The 25,891-nt window shown below is 35.3% G+C and overlaps 1 protein-coding gene across 12 annotated transcripts in view; it reads right to left on the bottom strand.

The window, feature by feature from the left end:
* The window catches only part of TMEM260 (transmembrane protein 260), an 83,641-nt gene that overhangs the window by 35,312 nt on the left and 22,438 nt on the right, over nucleotides 1-25,891 (bottom strand). For 6 of the 12 annotated variants that reach the window (XR_007064017.1, XR_007064018.1, XM_047431494.1 and 3 more), the window contains 9 exons: nucleotides 23,862-24,039; nucleotides 22,171-22,284; nucleotides 18,569-18,748; nucleotides 15,569-15,609; nucleotides 11,827-11,910; nucleotides 10,557-10,671; nucleotides 9,091-9,260; nucleotides 6,152-6,323; nucleotides 2,324-2,472 (listed from right to left, as the gene is read on the bottom strand). Coding sequence is in view for 9 of the 12 variants with exons in the window: in XM_011536851.3 (XP_011535153.1) it covers nucleotides 2,324-2,472; nucleotides 6,152-6,323; nucleotides 9,091-9,260; nucleotides 10,557-10,671; nucleotides 11,827-11,910; nucleotides 15,569-15,609; nucleotides 18,569-18,748; nucleotides 22,171-22,284; nucleotides 23,862-24,039 (1,203 nt within the window). In the remaining 3 variants the exon portion in view is untranslated. Of the gene's footprint in view, nucleotides 1-2,323; nucleotides 2,473-6,151; nucleotides 6,324-7,211; nucleotides 7,283-8,402; nucleotides 8,497-9,090; nucleotides 9,261-10,556; nucleotides 10,672-11,826; nucleotides 11,911-15,568; nucleotides 15,610-18,568; nucleotides 18,749-22,170; nucleotides 22,285-23,861; nucleotides 24,040-25,891 lie in introns of those variants that run through there. The other 6 variants (XM_047431496.1, XM_011536852.2, XM_047431495.1 and 3 more) reach the window with 5 other exon arrangements.

Genomic DNA, 25,891 nt, shown 5'->3' with positions numbered 1-25,891 from the left:
CTGACTGTTGTGGTGGTTACACAAATGTATACACGGGTTAAAATTCATAGAACTGTATACCACACCCCCTAACAAGAAAAGTAAATATTACTGCATGTTAAAATAACAGGTGCTCACTAAACATTAGCTAGCTTCCTTTCAGAGGTATGCATTTAGATAACTTTCATATGATGATGGTCCATCCCTTTGGGGGGGAAAAATATCTCTATCACATGCCTTTAAATAATGCATGTCCTTTGAGTTAGTAATTTTACTTCTGAGAATCTATACTAATAATTTAAAATTCTGCCCCTCCACAAAAAACCCTACATATACAAAAGCAGTTGTTGTAGGTATAATTTTATTATAGTTAAAATTAGATCATGTTAAATATCTCCTAATAGTTTTATTTGCTTATTATTTTTAAATTACAGTACATGTATTTACAAAGTTTGTAAAAACATAAGGAAATTGTTTTATGATAGTAAATATAAAAAACAGGACACTTATGCTTTCACCTTTGTAAAAAATATGCATTTTTTATATATGTGTTGTTTCTGAGTGAATAGGACCCTGTTTTCTTCCAGTTTTTAAAAACATTTCTCATTCTGTAACAAGCACATGAAACTTTTAAATTTAAAAACTATTTTAAAAACTGATATTAAATAAGTCATATTTATGCAGTGATCTTTGTTAGTCAAAAACATTAACAAAACTTTATGGGGCAGAATGTTTATCATAATTGTATATTATAAGAGCAAAAGTCTAGAAACAGAATATCCCAAAAATAGAATATTCGTTAAATTATTATGCGTCTTATGAGAATATTAGCCAACAATGACAATAATATACATGGGGAAATGCTTATGATATAATGGTAGGTTAAAAAAATTGGACAGAAAATGATATCTCAGCTATATATAATACAGTATGTATGAATATGTGTATGTTTTAAAAATAAGTCATTTATGTTAAAGGTGAGTGGAATCCAACAATATTTATCAAAATATTAACAGCAGCTGTCCTTGGGAGACAGATGATACTGATCGTCTTCACACTTTTCCGTGTTGTTTAGAGTTTCCTCAAAGAGCATACGATACTTCCATCATATTGTTCTTGGAACATTTTGGACATGCAATTTTTATTAAATAAATGCTGAATGAATGTCCCCAAACAGAATTAATGGCTTCCTTATCCATGCTGCCAGAATACTTGGCATATGTTGTCAGTTAAATCATCTATCTATTCAGTAAACACCTATTGAGTATATACTATGTCTGACACTTTACAAGGCATTGATAGTATAGAACTTATCCCACCAAATTATGGCTAGTTGTATTCACATCTATGTATGTATACAACTAGATTGTGTTCTATTTGGATTTGGAACTGAGTCCCATTCATCTTTCTACTGCTGGAGCCTAATACAAGCTGTAACATAGTAGACATTCAGTAAATGCTTGTGGGATTGAATTCTCGAAAATTCACAAAAATGCCAACTTGGGGATGTTAATGGTTCCTAATATTTTATCTAGAATAGAATAATTAAATGTTACTCTCACAGCGCATTTATAACCATTACTGTCGTTTACTCCACGAGCCATATAAACTTCAGGCTCTAAACACCCAAAATACCACATTATTATGTTCTTAGCAAGGGATAATTTAACTTTGGGATTTACAAAGACATTCTGAAGTCTTCTTTATAAGAAAAAATAAATCATGAAATAAGTGTTTCTTCTTCAAGCTCTGGACAATCTCAAGCACTTCATGGCAGAAGAAATGTTCAACACTGTGCCATCGGAGGAATTATTTATTCTTGACCTAACTACAAATAATTTTATGTTCTCAAGTATAGAATTCACAATTCTCATATTTTATCTCAGCTAGCATAAACTGTAGGTGTTTTTCTTATTTATAAAAATGTCTTATCCTTTATAAAAATTCTTAAGCTATTTTTATATAGTGATTATTCCTGAAAACATTTGCTTTACACTTAAAAGGGGGGCCATAGTGTTGATCAGGGGAACTATAATTGCTTGCCATCCACCTGCAATGATTTCAAGTAGGCAGGCACATCTCCAATTTCTGTGAATTGTACTAAGATCTTATTTGCTGTTCTTGCTAATCTGTCTGTATTTTTCCTTTATCCAAAACAATAACATTTATTTCTGCCTGGCCTCATTTATGCACAGATATTCAATTTAATTACAAAGATAATCTCACCAGTGACAGGGAAATAGGCAGAGAAAATTGGTCTTTTGGATGATGCACAACTGCTACAGAAACAATTTTAGAAAAGCTTAAGATTTTAGAAAAGCTATTATATAAAAAGAATGCTTACTGTTTATTTACTTCAAGAAAATGATAAAGATTAAATGTGACCATTCCACTAGGTAATATTCCTTCCACAGGATTCCACCGGTTCCCAGGAAAGTTGACACCTGGCAAGTGCTTTGCCATCTTGGGTAAATACCACTCGTAAGTCATCATCTGCCAGAAAAGTCACACATAATGTCAGACTTTTAATATATTTCTTAGAAAGAATCAAGTTTATCAAGTAATGGCAAAAACCTAAATTACTTTTGCACCAACCTAATATATATATAATTGAAAAATATAAGCACAACTGAGAATGTGGTACTGATTACTTTTTTAGTGATGTAAACTTTGGATTTTATTATGACTATCATCAGTCACATCAGTACCTTCTTCCAATTTACCTCCCGCATTTGACTCCCCAGAAGGACCTTCCCCCATTCTTATACCTAGAGCAGGGGTCCCCATACTGGGCCGCACAGCAGGGGCCAGCATTACTGCTGTGCTCTGCCTCCTGTCAGATCAGTGGCAGCATTAGATTTTCACAGGAGTGTGAACCTATTGTGAACTGCACATGTGAGAGATCTAAGCTGCATGCTCCTTAAGAGAATCTAATGCCTGATGATCTCAGGTGGAACAGTTTCATCCCGAGACCATTCCCCACCCCCACCCCCAACCCCCAGTCTGTGGAAATACTGTCCTTCACAAAACCGGTCCCTGGTGTAAAAAAGGTTGGGGACCACTGACCTAGAGAACGTGTATTCAACTTTCAGAACCACTGTAAATATCACTTCCTCTGATGCCCTCCTCTGTCTCCATAGCCAGAATGGCATGATCCTCTAGTACTTTGTACTCACCTCTATGAGAGCCTGTTCCTCACCAGACTGTGAGCTCCTAGAAAAAAGGCACTGTATTTTTTCATCTCTGTGTATCTGCACCTAGCACACTGCCTGGCATAGAACGGTTCTCAAATTTATTATTATTATTTTGAGACAGTCTCACTCTGTCACCCAGGCTGGAGTACAGTGGCATGATCTCAGCCCACTGCAAGCTCCGCCATCTGGGTTCATTCTCCTACCTAAGCCTCCCAAGTAGCTGAGATTGCAGGCACATGACACTACACCAGAATAATTTTTGTATTTTTGATAGACACGGGGTTTCACCATGTTGGCCAGGCTGGTGTCGAACTCCTGGCCTCAAGTGCTCCACCCGCCTTGGCCTCCCAAAGTTCTGGGATTACAGACGTGAGCCACCACACCTGGCCAGTTCTCAAATCATGTTTGCTGAAATTGAAATGCCTTTGATGGCCAGACTAGACAACCTAGACAAAATAGCCATTATTTTATTCATTAAAAAAATCAAGTATGCTCATCTATAATGAATAAGATATAATCCCTGCCCTGGAGAAGCTCAATCATGTAATAATCTAGGCCTCAAAGTTAAAAACTCTTTTGGCATTTCAAATTATCTGAATTTATTAGTAGCCCTATATTAATTACATATCCTTACAAGTTTACACATTCTTTTGATTTAAATAATTTACTTATATTAGAAAAAATCATTTTACTTAATTCTATACTTAACACATACTTAACTCTATACTTTGATATGTATTCATTCCCTCTTTTTAAAGAAGAGACTCCCATTAACACCACCAAAGCTTTGTTATGTTCGGATATCATCATTTGAGAAATTGTGCTTATGTTTTACTTGTCTTATGTAAGACATTACCCAGCAAATGACAAATTAATTTTAATCTAAGTCTAAACTGTAAATACTCAAAAAATACTTACTGAATTAGGCTTTATTACCCAATAGTTCTGGTTCTGGAGGATATTAATATTAATTACATACCCACTGTGTGCTATGGACTTTACTGTTCCTCATTTGGTTCTCAAAATAACCTTGCTATGTGAGAATAACTGTATCAGACACTGTTGATTGCCCACTCAACAGTGAATACCTTCTTCTTTTTCACTAATGCAATCTTCATTTTGATCAGGTAGCTCAGGCTGCAATGTTCTCAGTCTAGTCATTCTCCTTTGCTAATAAGCAGTTTAGGTGTGAGTATATGACTCAGTATTGGTCAGTGGGGCCTGAGTGGAGGTCTGCTGGGGGGCTTCTGGGGCACATGTTATTTCCAATAAATAGAGAGAGGGAGATACCCCAGAAGAAGCACTGTGCTTTGTTTTAGGTTGTGATGTTTGGAACTGGGCATGCATCCTGTGACTGGGAGGGAAAAGTCAAGAGAATGGCAGAAAAACTGCCTCAGAAACTGACGTCCCTGAACTGCTCATATTATCAATCCTAACATCACCTATCTCCAGACTGCGTCTCATGTGAGGCTAAAAACTCAGTCATTTAAGTCAGGTATTCTGTTTCTTGCATTCAAATGCACCCTAACTTACATAATGATGACTTACATTTCATAAATAAGGGAACAGAAGCTCTGAGAGGAAAAATCATTAGCCCCATGTCACATATCCAGGAAGTGACAGAATGAGGACTTGAGTTTAGGTCTAATTCACTTTCTAATCCATGCTTCTCAACTACAGGAGCTGACATTCTAAACAGTGTTTAAAATCATAGTGTGGAACCATGTTATTAACAAATAACATAGCTTTTGTCAGAATCTAGACTGAAGTTCAAATTAATCAATCGGCATCCATGATATAAATGCAACTGCTTATAAAAATGTAAAATTGTATATTTACAAATCTGTTTATAAAGTTTTCTCCAAAAATTATAATTATTCATTAATTCAACAAAGTGCATTAAGTACTATGCCTAATAATTTGTTCAATTGAATTCATCATATTATTCTTTTAAGATTAAGAATTTCTCTTTTCCTAATGACTGCTCTAAAAACACCAGAGACAGGTTTCTTCCCTTTTATGTATCTATGGCTTAAATAATAAATCTTAGTTTAAATAGTTCTTCAATGAAAAAAAAAGTTTTCATAGCCCTCAAAATTTTCACAAGTCCTCTCTTAATGTATTTTTGTCACAGCATTAAGAAAGTTTATATAAAAATTCTATAGCATAATTATGGTTAATAATTTCTATTTTGAGTGAAATGTTTACTTACCTACAGTATGATTTATTTCATATTCAATATAATTTATTTTAATCCCTGGACCAATGGGCAAGGTAAATTTGAATGGTTGAGTTAGCTGAATATAAAATAACAATTTTTTTTTTTTTTTTTTTTTTTGAGACGGAGTCTCGCCCTGTTGCCCAGGCTGGAGTGCAGTGACACGATCTCGGCTCACTGCAAACTCTGTCTCCCAGGTTCACACCATTCTCCTGCCTCAGCCTCCCGAGTAGCTGGGACTACAGGCGCGTGCCACCACACCCGGCTAATTTTTTGTATTTTTAGTAGAGACGGGGTTTCACCATGTTAGCCAGGATGGTCTCGATCTCCTGACCTCGTGATCCGCCAGCCTCAGCCTCCCAAAGTGCTGGGATTACAGGCGTGAGCCACTGCGCCCGGCCTGAATGTAAAATAACAATTTAAAAATAGATTTACCATACAACAAACACTTTTATGGTTTGTCACATGAACTAGAGACCTAAAACATTATGAATCTAACATGAAACACATTAATTCTTAAAACGTTCAGTTTAAATGTTTTTAAATGAGAAAGAAGCAACTAGTGTGACTTACACTATTAGTTAAAATAAAAAAAAGTATGCCCATATATATTCTACCTAACATGTAGAATGTCATATATATTCTACCTAACAGTGATCATGAAAACTGTACCCGTCCACCATTTTAAAAAAGATGTTTTTTCCAAAACATATGTTTTTAAATCATCGCTATATTCTAAGTATATTTTTCATATACTTACTTCCTGATCCACTAATGAAATGTCAGGCCTCAACCCCTCACAGTAATGCATGTAACGGAGAGAATTTCCTGGCAAATCTCCTCTGAGTAAGATAATTGCATCATGAGGCATAGAGGTGAGAAGGTTCTTTGCGAACTTATCAATCACATAGTTGGTCCTTTGGTCACAAACACTAAATAAAAGGATCCAAAAAAATTAAAATAGCAACACTTTGCTACAGTTTTAATAAGACTAGGCTTATTTTCTATGCCATTCTTTTCCCATCATACAATCAACATTTAGTGTTTCAATACATTCTAAAATAATATGTATATTTGAAGAGAGAATACTATCACCTGATAAGCAGCAGCTAATTGTGCAATTGAAAAAAAATCAGTCTACTGCTTACTTCTGGAGTTTATAATCATTTCCAGAAAAAGGGAATCAGTACACAAGAATAGGTCCTTTTTTCCCCCTAAGTGCAATCCAATTTTATTTTTAGAAAGTAAGATTTCTGATTCCACTTGGAGTTTAAGGCAATTTTATGTTCATTCCATTTACTCAAAGGAACTTTCAGAAATGCAAAAGGAAATCTGCCCATTTCTGACTTGAATTTGTATGGCATTTGTATGATTTTCTTGCATGCAGAGGTTGATCCTTTCCACTTCTCCCCTGAATCACAGGCCTCCTGTGTCCCTCTCTGCCTTTGGAGATCAAGAAATTGCTAGGGAATGAGACCAATGAGAAGCAAGGGGAGGACGAGTTTCCTGAGTTGTTTACTTCTCTCCAGGCATTATTTGCTATTGCCAATAACTTCATTCTTTTCAAGAATGAAGTTAACTTTCTAACTTCAAAGAAAAACTGGCATGAATTCTGACAGCATTCTATGAAAAAAGAAAAAGATGACAAAACAGTAATTAGTATCAAAAAATGAGACAAGCAATGTCCTTTCTGTTATTACCAAGTCCATTACATTTGATGGAGCTGAGAATATCTGGGGTATCACAAAACAAATGAACACCTCTAGGAACAGAATATTATCCCTGCCTTTGTAATTGATGTAAAAATTACTGTTTCCTACCTGATTCCCTATGTTGCAGAGTGATGAGGCACATTTTGCCACCTAGCAAAAGTGCTATGTATTCCATTCCCCTGGGACAAATAAAAAAAATCAAAACAAGATAAAAACACCTAGCCTGTGCAAATATGTCTGGTGTCGAACCTGGACTGCCCTAATGGCCTGAGCCAGGAGATGACTGGGATAAGAAAAGGTTGGGAAACACACTGTGGGCTTGGTGCACCTTCTTGAGCTAGCGATGATGTTGTGTCCAGGACACGCAGCCCCTTCTCTCAAGGCCTCCTGGTGGCCTTCCTAACACCAGCTCTACCCCAGTATTATAAAGAACAATGTTGTGGGTTTTTTTAACTTTTATTTTATGTTCAGGGTACACGTGTGGGTTTGTTGTTATAAAGGTAAATTCACGTCACAGGGTTTGTTGCACAGATTATTTCGTCACCCAGGTATTAAGCCTGGCACACAATAGTTATTTTTTTCTGATCCTCTCCCTCCTCCCAGCCTCCACTCTCAAGTAGGCCCCAGTGTCTGTTGTTCTCCCTCACTGTATCCATGAGTTCTCATCGTTTAGCTCCCACTTATAAGTGAGAAGATGCAGTATTAGGTTTTCTGTTCCTCTGTTAATTTGCTAAGAATAATGGCCACCAGTTCCATCCATGTTCCTAAAAAGGACATGATCTCATTCTTTTTATGGCTGCCTAGTGTTCCATGGTGTATATGGACCACATTTTCTTTTTCCAATCTGCCACTGATGGGCATTTAGGTTGATTCCATGTCTTTGTTATTGTGAATAGCGCTGTAATAAACATTCGCATGCATGTGTCTTTATGTTAGAATGATTTATATTCCTTTAGGTATATACCCAGTAATAAGATTGCAGGGTTGAATGGTAAGAACATTGGTTTTTAAAGTTAAGTTAAAAGAGAAAATGTAATCCTTTAAAATAATACCAGTCCAATCTCACTATAGCAAAATTCCAAGGGACTCTCTTCCATTTCCATAATGTGTACTTGATATTGCTGGAAATAAACGAACTATAGTCTAAGACTTAGACGTCTTTTATGTCAGACTGAGATTTTTATTGTAATGGTTATTAAACAGATTTTTTGAAAAATACATGTAATACTAATAATATATGAGTTAAGAAACTTTAGAACTTAATTTAAAAATAATTAAGGCTGGTATAGTGGTTCACACCTGTTAATTCCAGCACTTTGGGAGGCTGAAGAGGGAGGCTTGCTTGAGACCAGGAGTTCAGGACCAGCCTAGGCAACATAGTGAGACCTTGTCTCTACAAAAAAAAAAGAAAAAAGGCATGCTAATGGTGGCATGTGTCCATAGTCCTAGCTACTGAGGAGGCTGAGGCAGAGGACTGCTTGAGCCCAGAATTTCACGGCTGTAGTAAGCTACGATCATGCCACTGTACTCCAGCCTAGGGGACAGAATAAGACCTTGTCTCAAAAAAATTAGTATTTACTACTACAGAGTAAACTGGACATAAAGGGAAGCATAAAGTGAATTATTTTAGGGTATACAAAAAACTCTAAATCATTTTACTCTCCATCTAAGTGGTATTTTAGGTCATGGAATTTTACCTATACTAGGGATTCTAAAAGTATCTCTTGGGTTCTTAAGAGAAAAAGATACAAATTGTCTACACGCACCACCTAAACCCTTGTTTGCAATGGCCTGAAACCATTCATCGCCCATGCTTTAACTTTTAGGTTTAACGACCCTAAAAGTTAAAGAACTACTGCATTCAACCAAGCTGTCTCACTTTGAGTCTTGAAAACCAGAAGTTAACAATGAAATAAAGTGTTAGAATCTAAATATTCAGGTATCTCTGGCTTGACAGCTACTTTTCATAAAAATAACCATGTATTACCTGTAATTAGAATATATTTGGTAAACTACAAAAAGAGTTGCAGAAAGCCATTCCAGACACTGAAGCCCATTGCTATTCAGCACTCGGTTAGTCTCAGACACAACTGCAGCCAAACCAATGCCAGCGAGGACGGCCACTACTGCATTGCTCTGCATCCAGAATCGTTCCACCTGTGAAAGAGACATGCAACCAGTGGGTCCAGTTGACTATTTAATGCTATCAATCAGCTCCTCATATATTTTTTAAATATGCTGCATGCACCTAGTTGTGTGTGCCTGTTGTCATTCAGGTTTTGTTAACTGATTTCCCCAATCCAAGCCCAGGTCATTTTATTTTTCTATTTTCAAACATTCTTCCTTCCCAGTTTGACAGGTGCATCTCCCTTTTCAGATCCACACATTCATTTCAATACTGTGGCCTTAGTCTTGAACTCCAGTAATATACAGGCTGAAGGAGTTAGAGAAATGCTTTTGCTTTACTCCTGATGTTTCCTTCCACATGGAGAAGCTCCACTGTCCTGGCCTGTCTCTGACCCCTCACGTATTTCCTCCTATAGGATGTAGGGACTGATCTGACTGGGGAGTTTGGGAGCTGGGACTGGGCCTGCAGCGCCCTCCCTTTTCATCTCACTTTCTCCTGGAAGTGAGCTACCCACAGGAAGCACTTGTCCAGGGCTAGAGTCTATCTCTGTGGCACCAGTGGGGTGGGGGAGACAGGGAAGAGGCCTGACCTGCACAGCACTGCCTATGACTAGTGGGTAAATCTGTCTATTCTGGGATGCTGGAAGAGGAAGCCCCCTTGGCTACAGATATAAGCTGCATTTTCCAATCTCAGTATTATCAGTAATAAAAGTGATTCTCCCACCCGTTGTACTGTATTACCTTGTTTCTCAATTGATTCAGAACTCAGGTGATCAAGTAGGGTATTATTTATTAGGCTTCCTGAACACACACATACGCAGACTTTGTTTCAGCTGTCAAAAAAGTGCTATTGACATTTACAGAGAATCTATTGTAAGTAGAAGAAATACTCTAATCTCAGAGACTGCTGCCAAAGAAAACAGAAATACGGTTGCTCTTTTGCCTAGGCCTGGGACTGGGGAGGTAAGAAATAAGGAAATATGTTGTTAAGTGCCCTCAATTACAATTCATATTTCTTTTGCTGTTAAAAAAATTCCAGGAGAAATGCAGTTGTACCTATATTTGCAAGCACACACACATACAATGACTTAAATCTACTTTACATTTACTTTTCTATTTAACAACTGTGTTAAACACTGCATTCTTTTTATCCTAAAAAGAGGCCTTAGCTGTATTGACTCAATAATTCAACTTTGATTTATAAAAATGTATATAAAATTTTAACTATTCCTCAAGTAATTTGCCCTTCTACAAGATTTATGAAATGCAAATTTGCACATTCTTCACAAACTTTCTGGTCAAAGGATATATCTAAGTAAAACTTACCACACCCATGAAAAGTGGTTTTGAAATATCTAAATTTGCTCTCCAAGCAAAGAACAATGAATAAATGCAAAACATTCCAGTAAAAAGCCATACTAATGATGGATTCTGTCTGTCCCTACAAAAAATAATAAAAATATGTCTAAAATATTTAGATACATGAATGTCAAATATAATATCACAGGACTTTAAACTATTAGATCTATAAAAACTTTCCATTTTTAACTAGGAGCAAAGAGAGATTTCGGTTTTTAAAATCTGAGTTGAAACAAATAACCAAAATATAATAATAAATTTGAACTACAACTTGGGACTACGCAGTAAAGGATATAAAGCTAACATTCACAGAAGAAATGCAAACTACTGATTTTGTTAAATTTCAGAAGTGATCAAATACAGGCAAAATAGAAACATTTTCATGCTTGAAATAATAAAGATTTAAGAACGATAACTCTCAATGTTGGTGTGCAGTGGTATGACAATATATGTTAGTATAATCCTTCAGAAAATTTAATTTGATAATATCTATATCGGAAGCCTTAAAAATATTAATAATCATTGACTCAGTTATTTATCATGCAGGCATAAATCTTTAAGCAATAACCAGAAATGTAAATAAAGATTAATCCATAAAAATGCTTTGTTATTACTTATAATAGTGGAAAAAGTGGAAGCAATCTAAAGACCTCTCAATAGAAGAACAGTTAAATTAATTCTCCTGTGGTCATAGAATGTTCTATTATATAGACATTTAAATGATTTTAAGTATTTTTATAGTATGAGAAAATGTTCACAATGTTTGTGTCAAGTAAACAAAACTATAGATAAATGTACAAATATACATTTACATACAAATGCATTCAACAGACTAGATCATAAATGAATAAATTAATGGAGATTTACAGTGCTACATTTTTCAGGGTTTCTTTTGTCATCGGATCACTTTTATCATCAGAGGAATTTAAATTATTGCTTCTTTTTAAAATCAGCAATAATAATCGGTTATAGCAGAGTTAAGGGATCAAACCTGAAGTTTAGGACATCAAATGACTGTCTACTTAGATGTAATATAATGCTCAATTTCTTGAAATCATTGATTTATTTAGAATCAGAATAGAAGAAAGCAATACACGTTTATCTTAATAGACAGCTAGGAGAGTCATTTATTTGGAGTATAAAATAATACTGGCAATGTCCTACAGCGACATACTGAAAACATTAATTCAATTCATGAACATAGAAAAATAACAGAAAAAGGAATTGTATTACTTACTTTGTTGCTAAACATATATTTGCACAAACTGCAAGGGCTTGGATGTTGAATGAGAGTTCGGTCCTCATATTTGTTACTTGAGAACTGCAAAAAACAATCTAACTTATTGTTGGCAGGAAACAAATTTGATTGATTCCAAATAAAATAGTCCTTGTAAGATACCATTGATTATATACTGAACAATCACAAGGGCTGGGGTCAGATTTTAAAATTTTGTCTTTTAAAGTTGGAAGAAAAAGTGCAATAGAAAGACTTAAATAGTTCCAAGACGTTTTCCAATGGTAACATTTGGTTATCAACTTATATAATTTGGAATAGGATCAGAACAAATAATTCTTCTGTATTTTTTATATTGGTATACTGTATAGAATATCCCCGACTGGTTTGGTAGGAAGCTGTTTGAAATGAGTTTTTGAACTTTTTTCTCTTGGCAGTGTAGACATGGCCTCCAGTGATTTAGCAAATGATAACAAAATTAATTCAAATAGATTTCTGGAGATCTAATATGAAGAAAATAAAGGCCATGAGAGATAATTCCCAGCCATTCTTTTGTGGGTTATTTTTTTCCTTAATTGGTTTCCTTGTTTTCTATATTATTTGTTTTGGTTCAAAAAACATTTAAGCAATCTCAGAGAAATGTATTATGTTTTTTTCCTACAAATAAACTAAATTCTTCCATTAACTCATATGCATTTTCAGGTGTTAAAATTTGAGTTCTAAAATAGCTTCTGCTCTAGCTGTCTCCAATTGTTAAAAAAGAAATGACTCTATACATCATCTCAAAGAACTTTCTTCTCCCTACCGGCAATTTTACTGGAGAAAATGTGATACCATAATTATAGAAACCATACAATGTGTATTTTACTAATGAAGACTCATCTACTATGAGAAGATATCCTTACTCATTTTCAAATACACTTGAAAAAATTGATTCCAGCATGAGGCCCATTTCAAACCATTCTTCAAAAGGAATGAAGTCAGTCTCAAAATTATTCTTGGAGATCTATTGCTTAAGTGTAAGCGCTAAAAGATGGTCACTGCCTAAGGTTAGATTCAATAATTTCCTTGTACAGGATTGCAATTTAGAGATATGCATGGGGAAAAAATTTAATTTGCTTGACTGGAAAAGGGTAGATGATTAGCTTCTATCATTTTGAAGGATTTTCTCATAAGTTAATTATGAGTTGCCTTTTTCAATGTTCCTGCCCACCTGAAACTATTAAAGACTAGACATTCTCATTCAGGGAGTGCTAAGATTATGCCTTCATTCTACATGATGACTTGGTCCACACAGAACACAGAAGTGTGGGTGTGAGTGGTCATCACTTTTGTCAAGTCTTTTTTCTGGGTATACAGCCTGCTATTATTTTAATGTAAAGGAGGCCTTTAAGGGTCCCAATAGATGACTTTTATGTGCAACTAATAAAAGTTAGACATATGGTCTAGGATTACTCTCAAGAGTTCTTTGGAGTTCATGTAGGGTTTGCTAAGACAAAATATACCAGTTATCCTTAATGCTGTAACAATCTCTGGAAGGTAGATAGAAAAGAGCAGGCAGTGAGTCCTTCTGCATGGAGCAAAGCAGAATAAAATGAAAGCTCAGAGACATTGATATGACATTTGACTGTCTTTATCTTTATTTTTTTATTTTTTGAGACAGAGTCTCACTCTGTTGCCTAGGCTGGAGTGGCATGAAGGTGGCTCACTGCAGCCTCGACCTCCTGGGCTCAAGCGATCCTCTCACCTCAGCCTCCTGAGTAGCTGCAACTACAGGTGCATGCCACCATGCCTTTTTTTTTTTTTTTTTTAATGTTTTGTAGGCCGGTTGTGTTAGCTCACTCTGGTAATCCCAGCACTTTGGGAGGCCGAGGCAGGTGGATCACCTGAGGTCAAGAGTTTGAGACCAGCCTGGCCAACATGGTGAGACCCTGTCTCTACTAAAAATACAAAAATCAGCTGGGCGTGGTAGCACACACCTGTAATCCCAGCTACTCAGGAGGCTGAGGTGGAAGGATCACTTGAACCCGGGAGGCGGAGGCGGAGGTTGCAGTGAGCAGAGATCTCACCACTGCACTCCAGCCTGGGTGACAGGGCAAGACGCCATCTCAAAAAAAAAATTTTTTTTTTTTTTTGCAGAGACGGGTCTCACTATGTTGCCCAGGCTGGTCTCAAACTCCTGGGCTCAAGCGATCCTCCCACTTTGGCTTCCCAAAGTGCTGGGATTACAGGCATTAGCCACCGCACTCAGTGCCATTTTTATTTTTGAAAAGAAAACTGAGCTTCTTGTTACATTCCCCCAGCGAAAATGAGAAAGCCACAAAAGTCTCACACATAAAAAGAAATATTTACAATCAATGGTGAGAACCATCAAAAGGTTACGTGAAAGTAACTGATGGCAAGGAGGTATTTCCAAGATATAATGTAAAGTGAAAAACAGCAGGCTAATAAAACAGTATGTTTACTATGATCCTACTTTTAAAAAGAAATAAAAATCTTAAAAATATTAGAAAAATATAGTCATTAACAGATTAATAACAGTGGTTATCTCTGCATGTTGGATTTATAGGTAGTTTTAATTTTCTTATTTTTGCTTACCTGTATTTTCTAAGTTTTCTATAAAGCTTATGTACCTTTTTTGAAGTAGAAAAAAGAAGTTGTTTAAAAAGAAAGCAAGGAAGGATGGCTGGAAGAAAGCAAGCTATTAAGTAAATTACACCGAAACTGTGAGAACTCATAAACTGCCTCACATATAAAGTTGAAATATTCTCCTCATAGTTTTTTTTCAAACAGCCCCAAGAGTTCCAAATTAGTAATTAGTTAGGACATCACTTTAGTGTTGTAGAAACCTATTTTCTTCCAAAATTTTGTATCAAGTTGGTATGGATATCTTTCCACTTGTCTTAATCTGTAGGTTTTAAAGCAAATATTAACCCAGTTTTCAAAGAACACTATTAAATAATATACATGAAAATATATTTGCTTAAGCCAGCTCTAATAAGGTTGGATGTTAAAAATATGTAAGCCAAAGATAGAGCTTACGGCAAGGATAGCCTAAAGAAGTCATAGGAGACATTACATAAATTAAACTCTGAAATACTAAAATCCAAAATAACAAGAAAATAGTTGTTCAATTGAAGGTTGAAACATTTTAGTTCTATAAATGCTCTATATAGTATTCTAATATTCACCGTTGTGTTTATTGCTCATTTTAAGCTCTATCTTAGTGAAGGAGGTGCTAAAAATATTTGACAGTACAGTCGGCCCTCTGTATCCATGGGTTCTGCCTCCATGGATTCAATTAACCTTAAATCAAAAAAAAAAAAAAAAAGTTGGGGAAAAAACTGTCTGTACAAACATATACAGATGTTTTTTCTTGTCATAATTCCCTAGACAATACAGCATAACAACTATTTACATAGCATTTACATTATACTAGGTATAAATTATCTAGAGATGATTAAAAGTATACAAGAGGATGTAAATAGGTTATATACAAATATTATGCCATTTTATATCAGGACTTGAGCACCCATGGATTTTTATATCCTTAGGAGTTCCTGTAACCAATACCCCATGGATACTGAGGGACAACTGTAAACACAAACAACTGTTAACTGTAGAGGTAACAACTACTTCTCAGACATACTTTGTTACAAAGAGATGAACTCAGAAATCCCTAAAATCACTTAAAGGAACTAATAGAGAATTCATTTTAAAGTAGTTTCAAATATTTCATACTCACAGCAGTATTTCAGACATACTGGATCCTATTTCAGATTTGGCCTAAACACAAAAGACAAAAGTTTATCTGCACAAGCATTAAACTGACGCTTTATTAGGCTATTGTATTTTAATAATCTTAAAAGATTCGGGTTTTCTTAAAACAATTTTTTAATTTTAGGTTTCGGGGTACCTCTACAGGTTTGTTACACAGGTAAACTGCGTGTCAAGGGAGTTTGGTGTACAGACTATTTCATCACCCAGGTAATAAGCATAGTACCCAATAGGTAGTTTTTTTAATCCATTCCCTCCTCCTACCCTCTGCCCTTAAGTACATATGTGTCCATGTGTACTCAATGTTTAGCTCCCACTTATAAATGAGAACATGTGGTATTTGGTTTTCTGCTCCTGCATTAGTTCGCTTAGGACATTAACTCATTCTTTTTTATGGCTGTGTAGTATTCCATGGTGTATATGTATCACATTAAAAAAAATCCAGTCTACCATTGATGGGCATTTAGGTTGATTCTATGTCTTTTCTATTGTGAATAGTGTTGTGATGAACATACGTGTGTATGTATCTTTAGAGCAGAACAATTTATATCCCTTTGGGTATACAGCCAATAATGGGATTGCTGGGTTGAATGGTAATTCTGTTTCAAGTTCTTTCAGAAATCGCCACATTGCTTTCCACAATGGCTGAACTAATTTACACTCCCACCAGCAGTGTATAAGCATTCTCTTTTCTCCAAAACCTCACCAGCATGTTTTTTGACTTTTTCATATAATAGCCATTCTGACTTGTGTGAGATGGTATTTCATTGTGGTTCCAATTTTCATTTCTCTAATGATTAGTGATACTGAGCACTTTTTCATATGCTTTTTGGCTGTATGTCTAAAAGACACAGGTTTTAAATGTACAATGTATCATTTCTCTTCACTCAAAGTCTTTAGTTCAGAGTCTTATTGAATTTTTAAACAGAAGTCAGTGAAAACTAATTTGGCCACCCTTTAGGAAGAATTTTAGAAGTAATAATTGGCAGGCTGGGTGCGGTGGCTCACACCTGTAATCCCAGCACTTTGGGAGGCCGAGGTGGGCGGATCACAAGGTCAGGAGTTCAAGACCAGCCTGGCCAACATGGTGAAACCCTGTCTCTACTAAAAACACAAAAAATTAGCCGGGCATGGTGGTGCATGTCTGTAATCCCAGCTACTCAGGAGGCTGAGGCAGGAGAATCACTTGAACCCAGGAGGTGGAGGTTGCAGTGAGCCGAGATCACGCCACTGCACTCCAGCCTGGGTGATAGAGTGAGACTCTGTCTCAAAAAAAAAAAAAAAAAGAAAGAAAGAAAGAAAGAAAAGAATATTTGGCTAGAAATCAGTTAAACTATTCCAGCAAAAATGATTTACATGTTAATAAATTAATAACCTTTTTATACTTCCATTATAGACTTTCCTTAAGCTCTTTATGAGCACTTTGATTAAAATTCATTATAACTTGTTCATCTAAAATTTCACAATTATGTATGAATTATATAAATTTGAAATCTAGAATGGTCTTCAGACAATATTTTTCTGGAATAACCAAAATAATTAAAGCAGAATATAAATGTAAAGTATCAAACTCTCTAAGTCAAAATAATTAATACTTTTTTATTATGAAACATCTCCTACATATAAAAAACATATATAATACATCTTTAAGGGTCAAAGAGCTTTTTAAAAATCTACAGATCCAACATTCATTTAAGAAACAAAACCTCACTGGCCGGGCGCGGTGGCTCACGCCTGTAATCCCCGCACTTTGGGAGGCCGAGGAGGGTGGATCACGAGGTCAGGAGATCGAGACCATCCTGGCTAACATGGTGAAACCCCGTCTCTACTAAAAATACAAAAAAAATTAGCCAGGTGTGGTGGTGGGCGTCTGTAGTCCCAGCTGCTGGGGAGGCTGAGGCAGCAGAATGGCGTGAACCCGGGAGGCGGAGCTTGCAGCGAGCTGAGATCGCGCCACTGCACTCCAACCTGGGTGACAGAGCGAGAATCCATCTCAAACAAACAAAGCAAAATAAAAAAAAAAATTCTTTTTTTTAAAAAGAAACAAAACCTCATCAATATCATAAGGTATCTCCCAAAGCCCTCAAAGACTTTTTCTTCCTTATCCCACAGTAGTAACTACTACCTTGAATTTGGTGTTAATTATTTCCCTATTTTTTATAAATATATAGTTCTACTACTTTTGTATGTACCCTTGAACAATAGATTGTTTAGTTTCTCATGGTTTAGAGTTTTGTATAAGTGGTATTATATACTACATACTCTTCTGAGACTTGCCTTCTTAAGTAGGACACAAAAGTACAAACCAAGAAAGAAAAACCTGATATAACTGTCTATATGAAAATAAAAAATCTTCTGCTCATCCTTTCATTTTTCAGATAATCTTTACTGTGACTATATTTAATGTGTTCCCCTAATATGTCTTAGGAAAAGCAAGGCCTTTTGAACTTCTTTGGAGCACACTGTTTCCATTTAGTGAACTCATGAGGCATTTACAGATATGTCTTGAGTTTCAAAAACTAGACATTAACATAAAAACTGTTCATGAAATATGTAAAAAATAAATAAATAATAATAAGAAGTGGTTTGGTCAAGGAAAATTTTTTAAATTGAGGATTTTTTTTCCTTCGATCTTTTCCAAATAGTTTTATTCACAGATCAAGTACCCATAGTGACTCACTGCTAACAAGACTGAAATGTTTCGACTGTAGGTGGAAGACTTTAATGACTGCTATCCTAAAAAGTATATTCAGGATATACAACTACATGATGTTAAATTAAGTGATTCTGACTTTTCTCTTACATATATCAAAGGCCATATTCCAAGGGGCAAGTTTGTTACATAAATAACCAAAACAAACATTTGATCTACTGTCATTGACAAATATTGTTTTTTTAATCAAGGCCCAGGCAGAGCACTGAAGTTTTGCCACTTGTTTCCTTAGAAGGGCTTTAAATCTGAATTTACCAGGCTGAAGGTTCCATATTCTTCCCTGAGAAAATGTGTCAAAAATCCTTGCAGTGTTGTCTGGTCTCCCCAGGTCCACCGGGCGTGATTAAGGTAAGATGAGATGGGAAGGTGGACATAGGGCAGCAAACCAGCAGAGAAGTACAGGCTCAACTTCAACAAAGAGCCCAGGGAGAGTTCCTGCATCAGAGCACATTGGGTGGTATAACAATGTTTATTTTAGTAGATTCATCTCGGAACTTCAAGAACATATCAAGGAAAACATCAAATATGTTTACTCAGAGCTGATCTCCCAATTTATATTAAGTCACCACAGAATACTATGTTAAACCTTCTGATTACTACGGATTACTAGAAAATTGCATCAGCCTGAACTCCTTTGCATGGCAGGTGAAAGCTGAGTGAAGCAAATAATATTAGCAAAGGCTCATGAGTATCATGTTTATTGCATCACTTACATTTAAAACCATGTCATGACAAGCAGCATTGCACAGCTAAGATAACCTGCCTGGAAGTGATTATGTGTTGTTTGGCTGATTTTGAATATGCCCAAAATACAATTCTAAGACCAATTCACTTTGTCATCATCATTAGGAGTAGACTTCAACTATATATATTACTATGATTATATGTTGACAATTATTTCTACAAGCGTTTTGAACATTTCACAGAAATGTTTGGCATAAATGAAACTAGCTTTTATATAAACTCCAAGCTCATCCAAATGCTTTTTTTCTCCTCAATTTACATATAGGATAGAATATTAAAGAAAATTAGTTGTTATAACAATGCTGCTTCATACACCTTATTTGGGAAAATATATTTCTCATTGGTAAAATACTTTTCTTAAAGGACAATATCGACAAAGTTTTATAAATATTAAATCCAAAATAATATGAATTCTGATATATTCAATCAATTCCTGTGTATCTGAACCAAGATTCAAATACTGCTTACTTTAGTAACTGGGAAAGGTAGTCTCTCACAAATATCGTATTTGGAAATTGCCAATTTTTCCTTTACAAAAAAGAGAAATTCATATGTGAGAATGAATATAAGAATCAAGGTTCACATTCACTAGAAGTAGAACAAGCAGTTGATTTATGTTAGCATTTTCAAATAAACATTCTTAATTGAAAATGAAGTGTTTTATTACAGTACTGATTTCATTTGAGATTTCTATAGCAGTAATGAGATGCATAAAAAATGATGGCATGAAAGGAGCATAAGAAATAACTAATCTAACAACATGCCTTTGCTATTCTTAAAATTAGTTTTTAAAAAAGTAAATGCTTATTTTTGCACAGTTTCTGCATATTATAAAGTTGAATTTAGAATGGTAAGATGAGTTGCTGCAGAATTTTCCTTTTGTGTGAGAAATAAACAGGGAGACAATTGCATGAGAGCTATTGCAGAGTTGGGGAATAAGTGGCTCCTAATCCTAACTGCACATTAAAATCACCTGGGGAGCTTCTTAAAAATACTGATGTCTGGGCCTCACCCCAGATCACTTATATCAGAATTATTTTGGGGTAGAATCAATTTGTAGCATAAATAAATACATATATATATACACACACACACGTCCCTATGTATATATGTACATACAGATATATACATATGTACCTACATTACTATATACACATGTACATCTGTGTATATATACACACAAACAAACACGGACTTTTTAAAAGCTTCTCAGATAAGTAAGCAGCCAGGGTTGAAACCAACTGACTCAGGACTTTCTGCTCTGTCTCCAGTCATCTCCCAGTGAGATCCAACTACCCTGTTACTTCATTGGTAGGCCTTATTTTCTAGCCTCTGCTTTTTAACTAATGGGAAATAAAGAGTCACAGTTTTCACAATTTCATCACTCTCTGGTAGCTTACCTCAGTACAGGGAAAACAGGCCCTTAGTCCAGGCTCTGAAATTATCAACTCTGAATCCTCCATGTTTTACAGAAAGTATATGCCTCTCCTTTCAATCAATTAACATGAAATATGTGCTAAGAATGCACCCCTCTGATGTCTGTTCAGGTCGGAAGTCTGGCTAAGATGACCAATACGAGAGGGAGATGTATCCATCCACCCCCACTGATTCACAAGAGAAATATCTGGGCCTCTTTCTCGTATTCCATAGAAAAGCTTCACTGAGTTATATTTCGTATCTCCATTTTTAATCAAGGTTTATATAATAAAAGGCCATATAAAGAACTTGCTATATACACTATAAAACCACTGTTAAAGACACTGCCTGTTATGCTGTTTAATAAGATTTACATAAGGACTTACGTGATTGACTTCACAAAATTCAGTGCCAAGGAAAAGTTCTTTCCTGTCAACTGCTATGTTTCCCTTTTACTTATTATTTATTTATTTATTTATTTTTTTGGAGACGGAGTCTTTCTCTGTCACCCAGGCTGGAGCGCAGTGGCGCGATATCGGCTCACTGCAACCTCCTCCTCTCGGGTTCAAGCGATTCTCCTGCCCCAGCCTCCTGAGTAGCTGGGACTACAGGCGCACACTGCCAAGCCCAGCTACTTTTTTTTGTATTTTTAGTAGAGACAGACTTTCACCGTGTTGCCCAGGCTGGTCTCGAACTCCTGAGCTCAGGCAATCCGCCTGCCTTGGCCACCCAAAGTGCTAGGATTACAGGCGTGAACCACTACACCCAGCCCTTTTTACTTACTTTTTAGTCACATTGTAAAAATTTTATAACCTCTGTGTTACCCTTTTTGCTTTACTGTTAAGAAGCTAAGAAGCAAAATGTGTTCAAGTACAGTAAATATAGTTATCTAAAGCTTTGGTATAATTATTTCCCTATTTCTAGATAATAATTTTGTTTTATATGTTTTCTATTATAATTCTGATTATAGCTGGGTATAATGAACAAATAATAAAAGGATAAGTAAAGCTGAGTTTGTACACAAACAAACAATAAGGTAAAACGACTCTAGTGCTGGCTTTGTATATAGACTATTTTAACCTCTGGGTACCTAAATCTCACATTGCCTAATGAAGTAATTTTCCTGTTGCTTTATATTGCCATTTTAATTAACAATCATTTTTTTCTTTCAGAGAAAGAAGAAATAACAATAAATCATTTTTAATTCTAGGGAATCCGTTTTGAGAAAACAATACTGTTACCAGAGATTTTATTATTTAGTTCACAATAGAAGCGATGTCTGTTTTGTTGAGAGCTGACTCTTCAGCACCTGGAGTAAGCATATGGCACAGGGCAAGGACTCGGCACACAGTTAAATAAATGAAGTATGATGGCACACCACTCTGTGTTTTAGAATGTATAAAACGATAATTAAGAAAATTTGATATTGTTGCTTTAAGTCCTTTCAGCCTACTTTCATCAAGATGCTATTCAGAATCAGTCATAAAATTATGGAACAGGCCAGATGCCACTGCAATCAATACTGCATAATTTTTGTAAATCCTATTTTTTTCAGTCAATATTGTTAGGCCCTAGGGTTATTTATGCTTTACATGAAACCCAAGAAAAATTAAAGCCTGAAATTTTCTCATGACAAAAATGTTATATTAGACCTAAGTAAAATATTGTACTTTTTTTTACAAAATTCAAAAACGTACCTTCTTTTTTAAAAGTTGAAAGAGAATCCAAGGTATTATGCACAAAACATAGAGTATTATTGTGTGCTGGTTACATAAACTAAGGCCACAGCAGAAAGCACCAATTTTAGCTACCTGAAAATAAATTAAAAAAAAAAATTAAGTAAAAAATTCACCTAAAACTCTAAGAACATAATAAAAAGCCATTTTTATATTAAAACCAAGCATTCGTATCATGTTAGGTTAAAATCAACCTCTAAGATGCAAGCAGTTATTTTAATAATCATTCATATTTGTTACTATTATTTTTGTTAATATTTTCCAAGTTCATCAAATAATTGCAATTTGATCTTAAATAACTGTTTTCAAACCAACTTTTAGAAAATCCTGTATGATAAATAGATAAGTTGTAATAGTAATAGGGTATTGTGTAATGCTTATTCAAGTAAAATCTATAATTGAAATTCAGCAATTGTTTTTTCTCCTATTAAACAAATGAAATATAGCCTCTTTTATTTAGAAATCTGGTTATCTCTGGGTGTTGGTTTTGAGTTTTTCCAACATGTGTTAGTTTCATAACTGGCAAAGATTCTCTCGTTGACCAAACTCAAGTCAGGCTCCTCTGAACTCTTCCCAATTAGGTCCTGACTTTTGAGTTTCCATGTTCATCTCTGCATTGTCCAGTTTTAGCATCAATCCTGTCAAGTCAGTTTAGCCAGAACACTAATTCTCAATATCTGATCAAGTTCTTCATCCACTACCATTCCCTAGGTGAAGTCTGATCACCCTGGCTTGCTTTCAGCAAGAATTCAGTCAAATCTCCCTTTACCGCTGATGCTTCCTCTCAGTAATTTTCCATACACTGACTCCCACACTGCTCCTTGGCTATGAATTCCCACTTTTCCTTGTATTTGGAGTTGAGCCTGATTTCTTTCCCCTACTACAAAACCCCATTGCAGTTGTCCCTATACCTGAACCTGAACAGTGTGCCTTCTCACTCTTTAAAAAGTGTATTGAATAATTTTTTTAACATAATCAGATATTTTTTAAGCCAAAAACCCCCTCTAATAGCATCACAGGAAACCACATATAAACCATGATGTTCTTTTGTTTCTACACTCTTTAACAACACAAAGCTGCCTATACTAAGATGATTTGGCATTTCCCAATGTATAGACTCTAAGTTCTTAGAAGATAGGGTTCTTTCACATGTCAAGTGATTTTGATGATAGTGTTTGTCTTAAAATTCATTGTAATCTCTTCTGAACTACTTCATGGTTTACATTTGATACTCTTCTTTTAGTTAGTAGATTACAAATTTGACCTTTTTTGGCAATTAAGGAGTGAGTCAATGCATCCTAATTTAAGGGGGCCAGTGTAGAGCTTGGCACCTTCTGATAATATACACAAACAAATGATGGTGAATTAAGCAACAAGCCTATCTTTCCCACCGGACACACAGGGGATTTTATAATCCTCTAATTCTCCAAAAAACTTTTGAACTCTGAGGGAAGAAAAGCGCCATGTTTTATAAGGGCTATCCTGGTTCCATCCATAATAAAAAAGACTGAGATCATTTTCTCTCTCAGCATGCTAGATTATCCCGACTGTAATCAGAATAGATAAAAGGTATTTAAGCCAAAGTTAAAAAGAAATACATCTGTCTAAAAATTAAAACAAAAACTGATTTCACTTTGATCAAAATAGGTTACCTTTGATCTCTCCTTAGCAGTTGCTGCTTCCTCAAAATGTACAGTAAGAGCCATAAGCAGCCCCACAAAGAGATTGTTTAAGCTAAAAACCTCTGCTGCAATGGACCACTGCCATGTTAGACGAGAAAATGAAAACACCCCCGCAGCAAGGATTCCTCCAGCAGATGAGCCAGAAAGCCTGCAAACACAGATAACATGAAATCTTCTTTTCCAACAAAAAGAACTAACTTTATTTTCCTTTTGGTAAACTGTACCAGCAGAAATTATGATAGTCACCCAGCACTACTCCAACACATTATATGGTTAATACATTAACTCATATAATAATTTCCTTCAACAGATTTTAATTAGGAAGTTCATATGTTAACCTATTAATGAACAAATAAACTAACCTATGGCTAGAATGAGGTTCAGTCCTCAGATGTTAACTGCTAGGATTCACGCCAGTTCAGAAAACCTGAAGACACAGTAGCTACAGAGAGAACAAACCTGTGTCATTTTCTTGCTCCATCCATGAAGAAGGATGGCCTAGTTAAGACCTAAATGTTTGATTGTAAAAATTAATGAAATGAAAAAATATTTATTCAGAAAAATGCATTCTCACTTCAGGTAGAATGTTTGGACCTAGGTACCTTCTATTTTCATCTCTCAGCATATGGCAAAGAATGTCTTGATCACAATATCTGATGATTTCAATATCTTATACAGTGCATTTCTTACTTTGCAAGGGTTTTTTTTCTTTAGACAACGGTGAAGTTAAAACTAATTTTTTTTCTAAAGAAGAAGATGGGAATGTGAATTTCAATAACACCAGAAGAATCAGATGCTACACTCAGAAACAAATTTCTCACCCACAAATGCCAACAAAACCCATACCATTTAAAACAATCAGGAATCTGGATCTCGGTTCAGAGATTTGTTTTGAGACTGGTAGTGTGGATGAATTTACTAGTGCATATCAAACCAAAACAACTTTCTATTTCCTTATTAATCTAAAACTATGAAAATGAAAGCTATTATGAAATGCCTATTTCTAATAGTGTTAGAAAATTCAGCAAGCATTACTGCGTCCAACAATTATCATATTCTATAGCTCCAAACCATTGATTTTCAACTGTATCCTTTTGTATAAAAAGTTACAGGGTAGTTCTATGGCTTTAGTCAATCATTATTTTTAAATGATTAAATAAAAATCTCAATATCAGTAAACCTGTTTTTACTTTGATTTTCTGTTTGCAATTTATTTGTTTTCTTTCTCTTAAAAAATCAGCAGTTTCCCATTTCTTTCAGCTTCCCGTTCTTCCAGCGATCCTGATTCAACACATTATTATTTCTTCCTTCCAAATTACTTTCCTGTCTACTCATTCCTATTTGTATTTTTACTGCCTTACACTTAATTATTTTAAGAGTTCCCTAATTTGTCTTCTGTTTTTCAATCTATTCTGCAATATAACATCACATCAAGTTTCCTAAAACATATCCTTTATGACTACCCAGCCCAAAAACTTAAGGACTCTCCGCTGCTTGAGGGATAAGTTCTAAATCAGTCAGCCTAGAATCCAGGCTTCCAATAAACTGGATCCCACTCATTCACTAATGATCAACATTATTCTCTCCACCAATTAGTCAGGCTCATCAAAATTTCCTAATAAGACATGCCTATGCCTAGCACTATACCTTTGCTCATTCTGTACCCCTGAATCTAAAGTCCTCCCTGCTCCTTTCTATTTATTTAAATCCTACTTCTTTCTCAAATGTTTCTTCAATTCCTAGGTTTTTAGCCCATTCTGTACATCTATAGTATTTAATTGTCTGTAACAATTACTTTACCATTGTTTTTGAAATGTGAATTGGAGTTAAATTTCATTTATATTGGAAGTATCTAGCCCCAAACACACAAAGGAAACTTACTGAATGAAAGAACAAATTAAAGTATTTCTAACATTTATAAAGGAACTTCTATGTTTCATATATCAATATTATTCAGGAAAGTCAGCATAAGATACAATATTCCTTCCTCTATTTAAAAC

Source organism: Homo sapiens, chromosome 14 (assembly GCF_000001405.40).
Source record: "Homo sapiens chromosome 14, GRCh38.p14 Primary Assembly".
NCBI classification, from domain to species: domain Eukaryota; kingdom Metazoa; phylum Chordata; class Mammalia; order Primates; family Hominidae; genus Homo; species Homo sapiens.
This window is presented reverse-complemented; position numbering and strand designations above follow the sequence as displayed.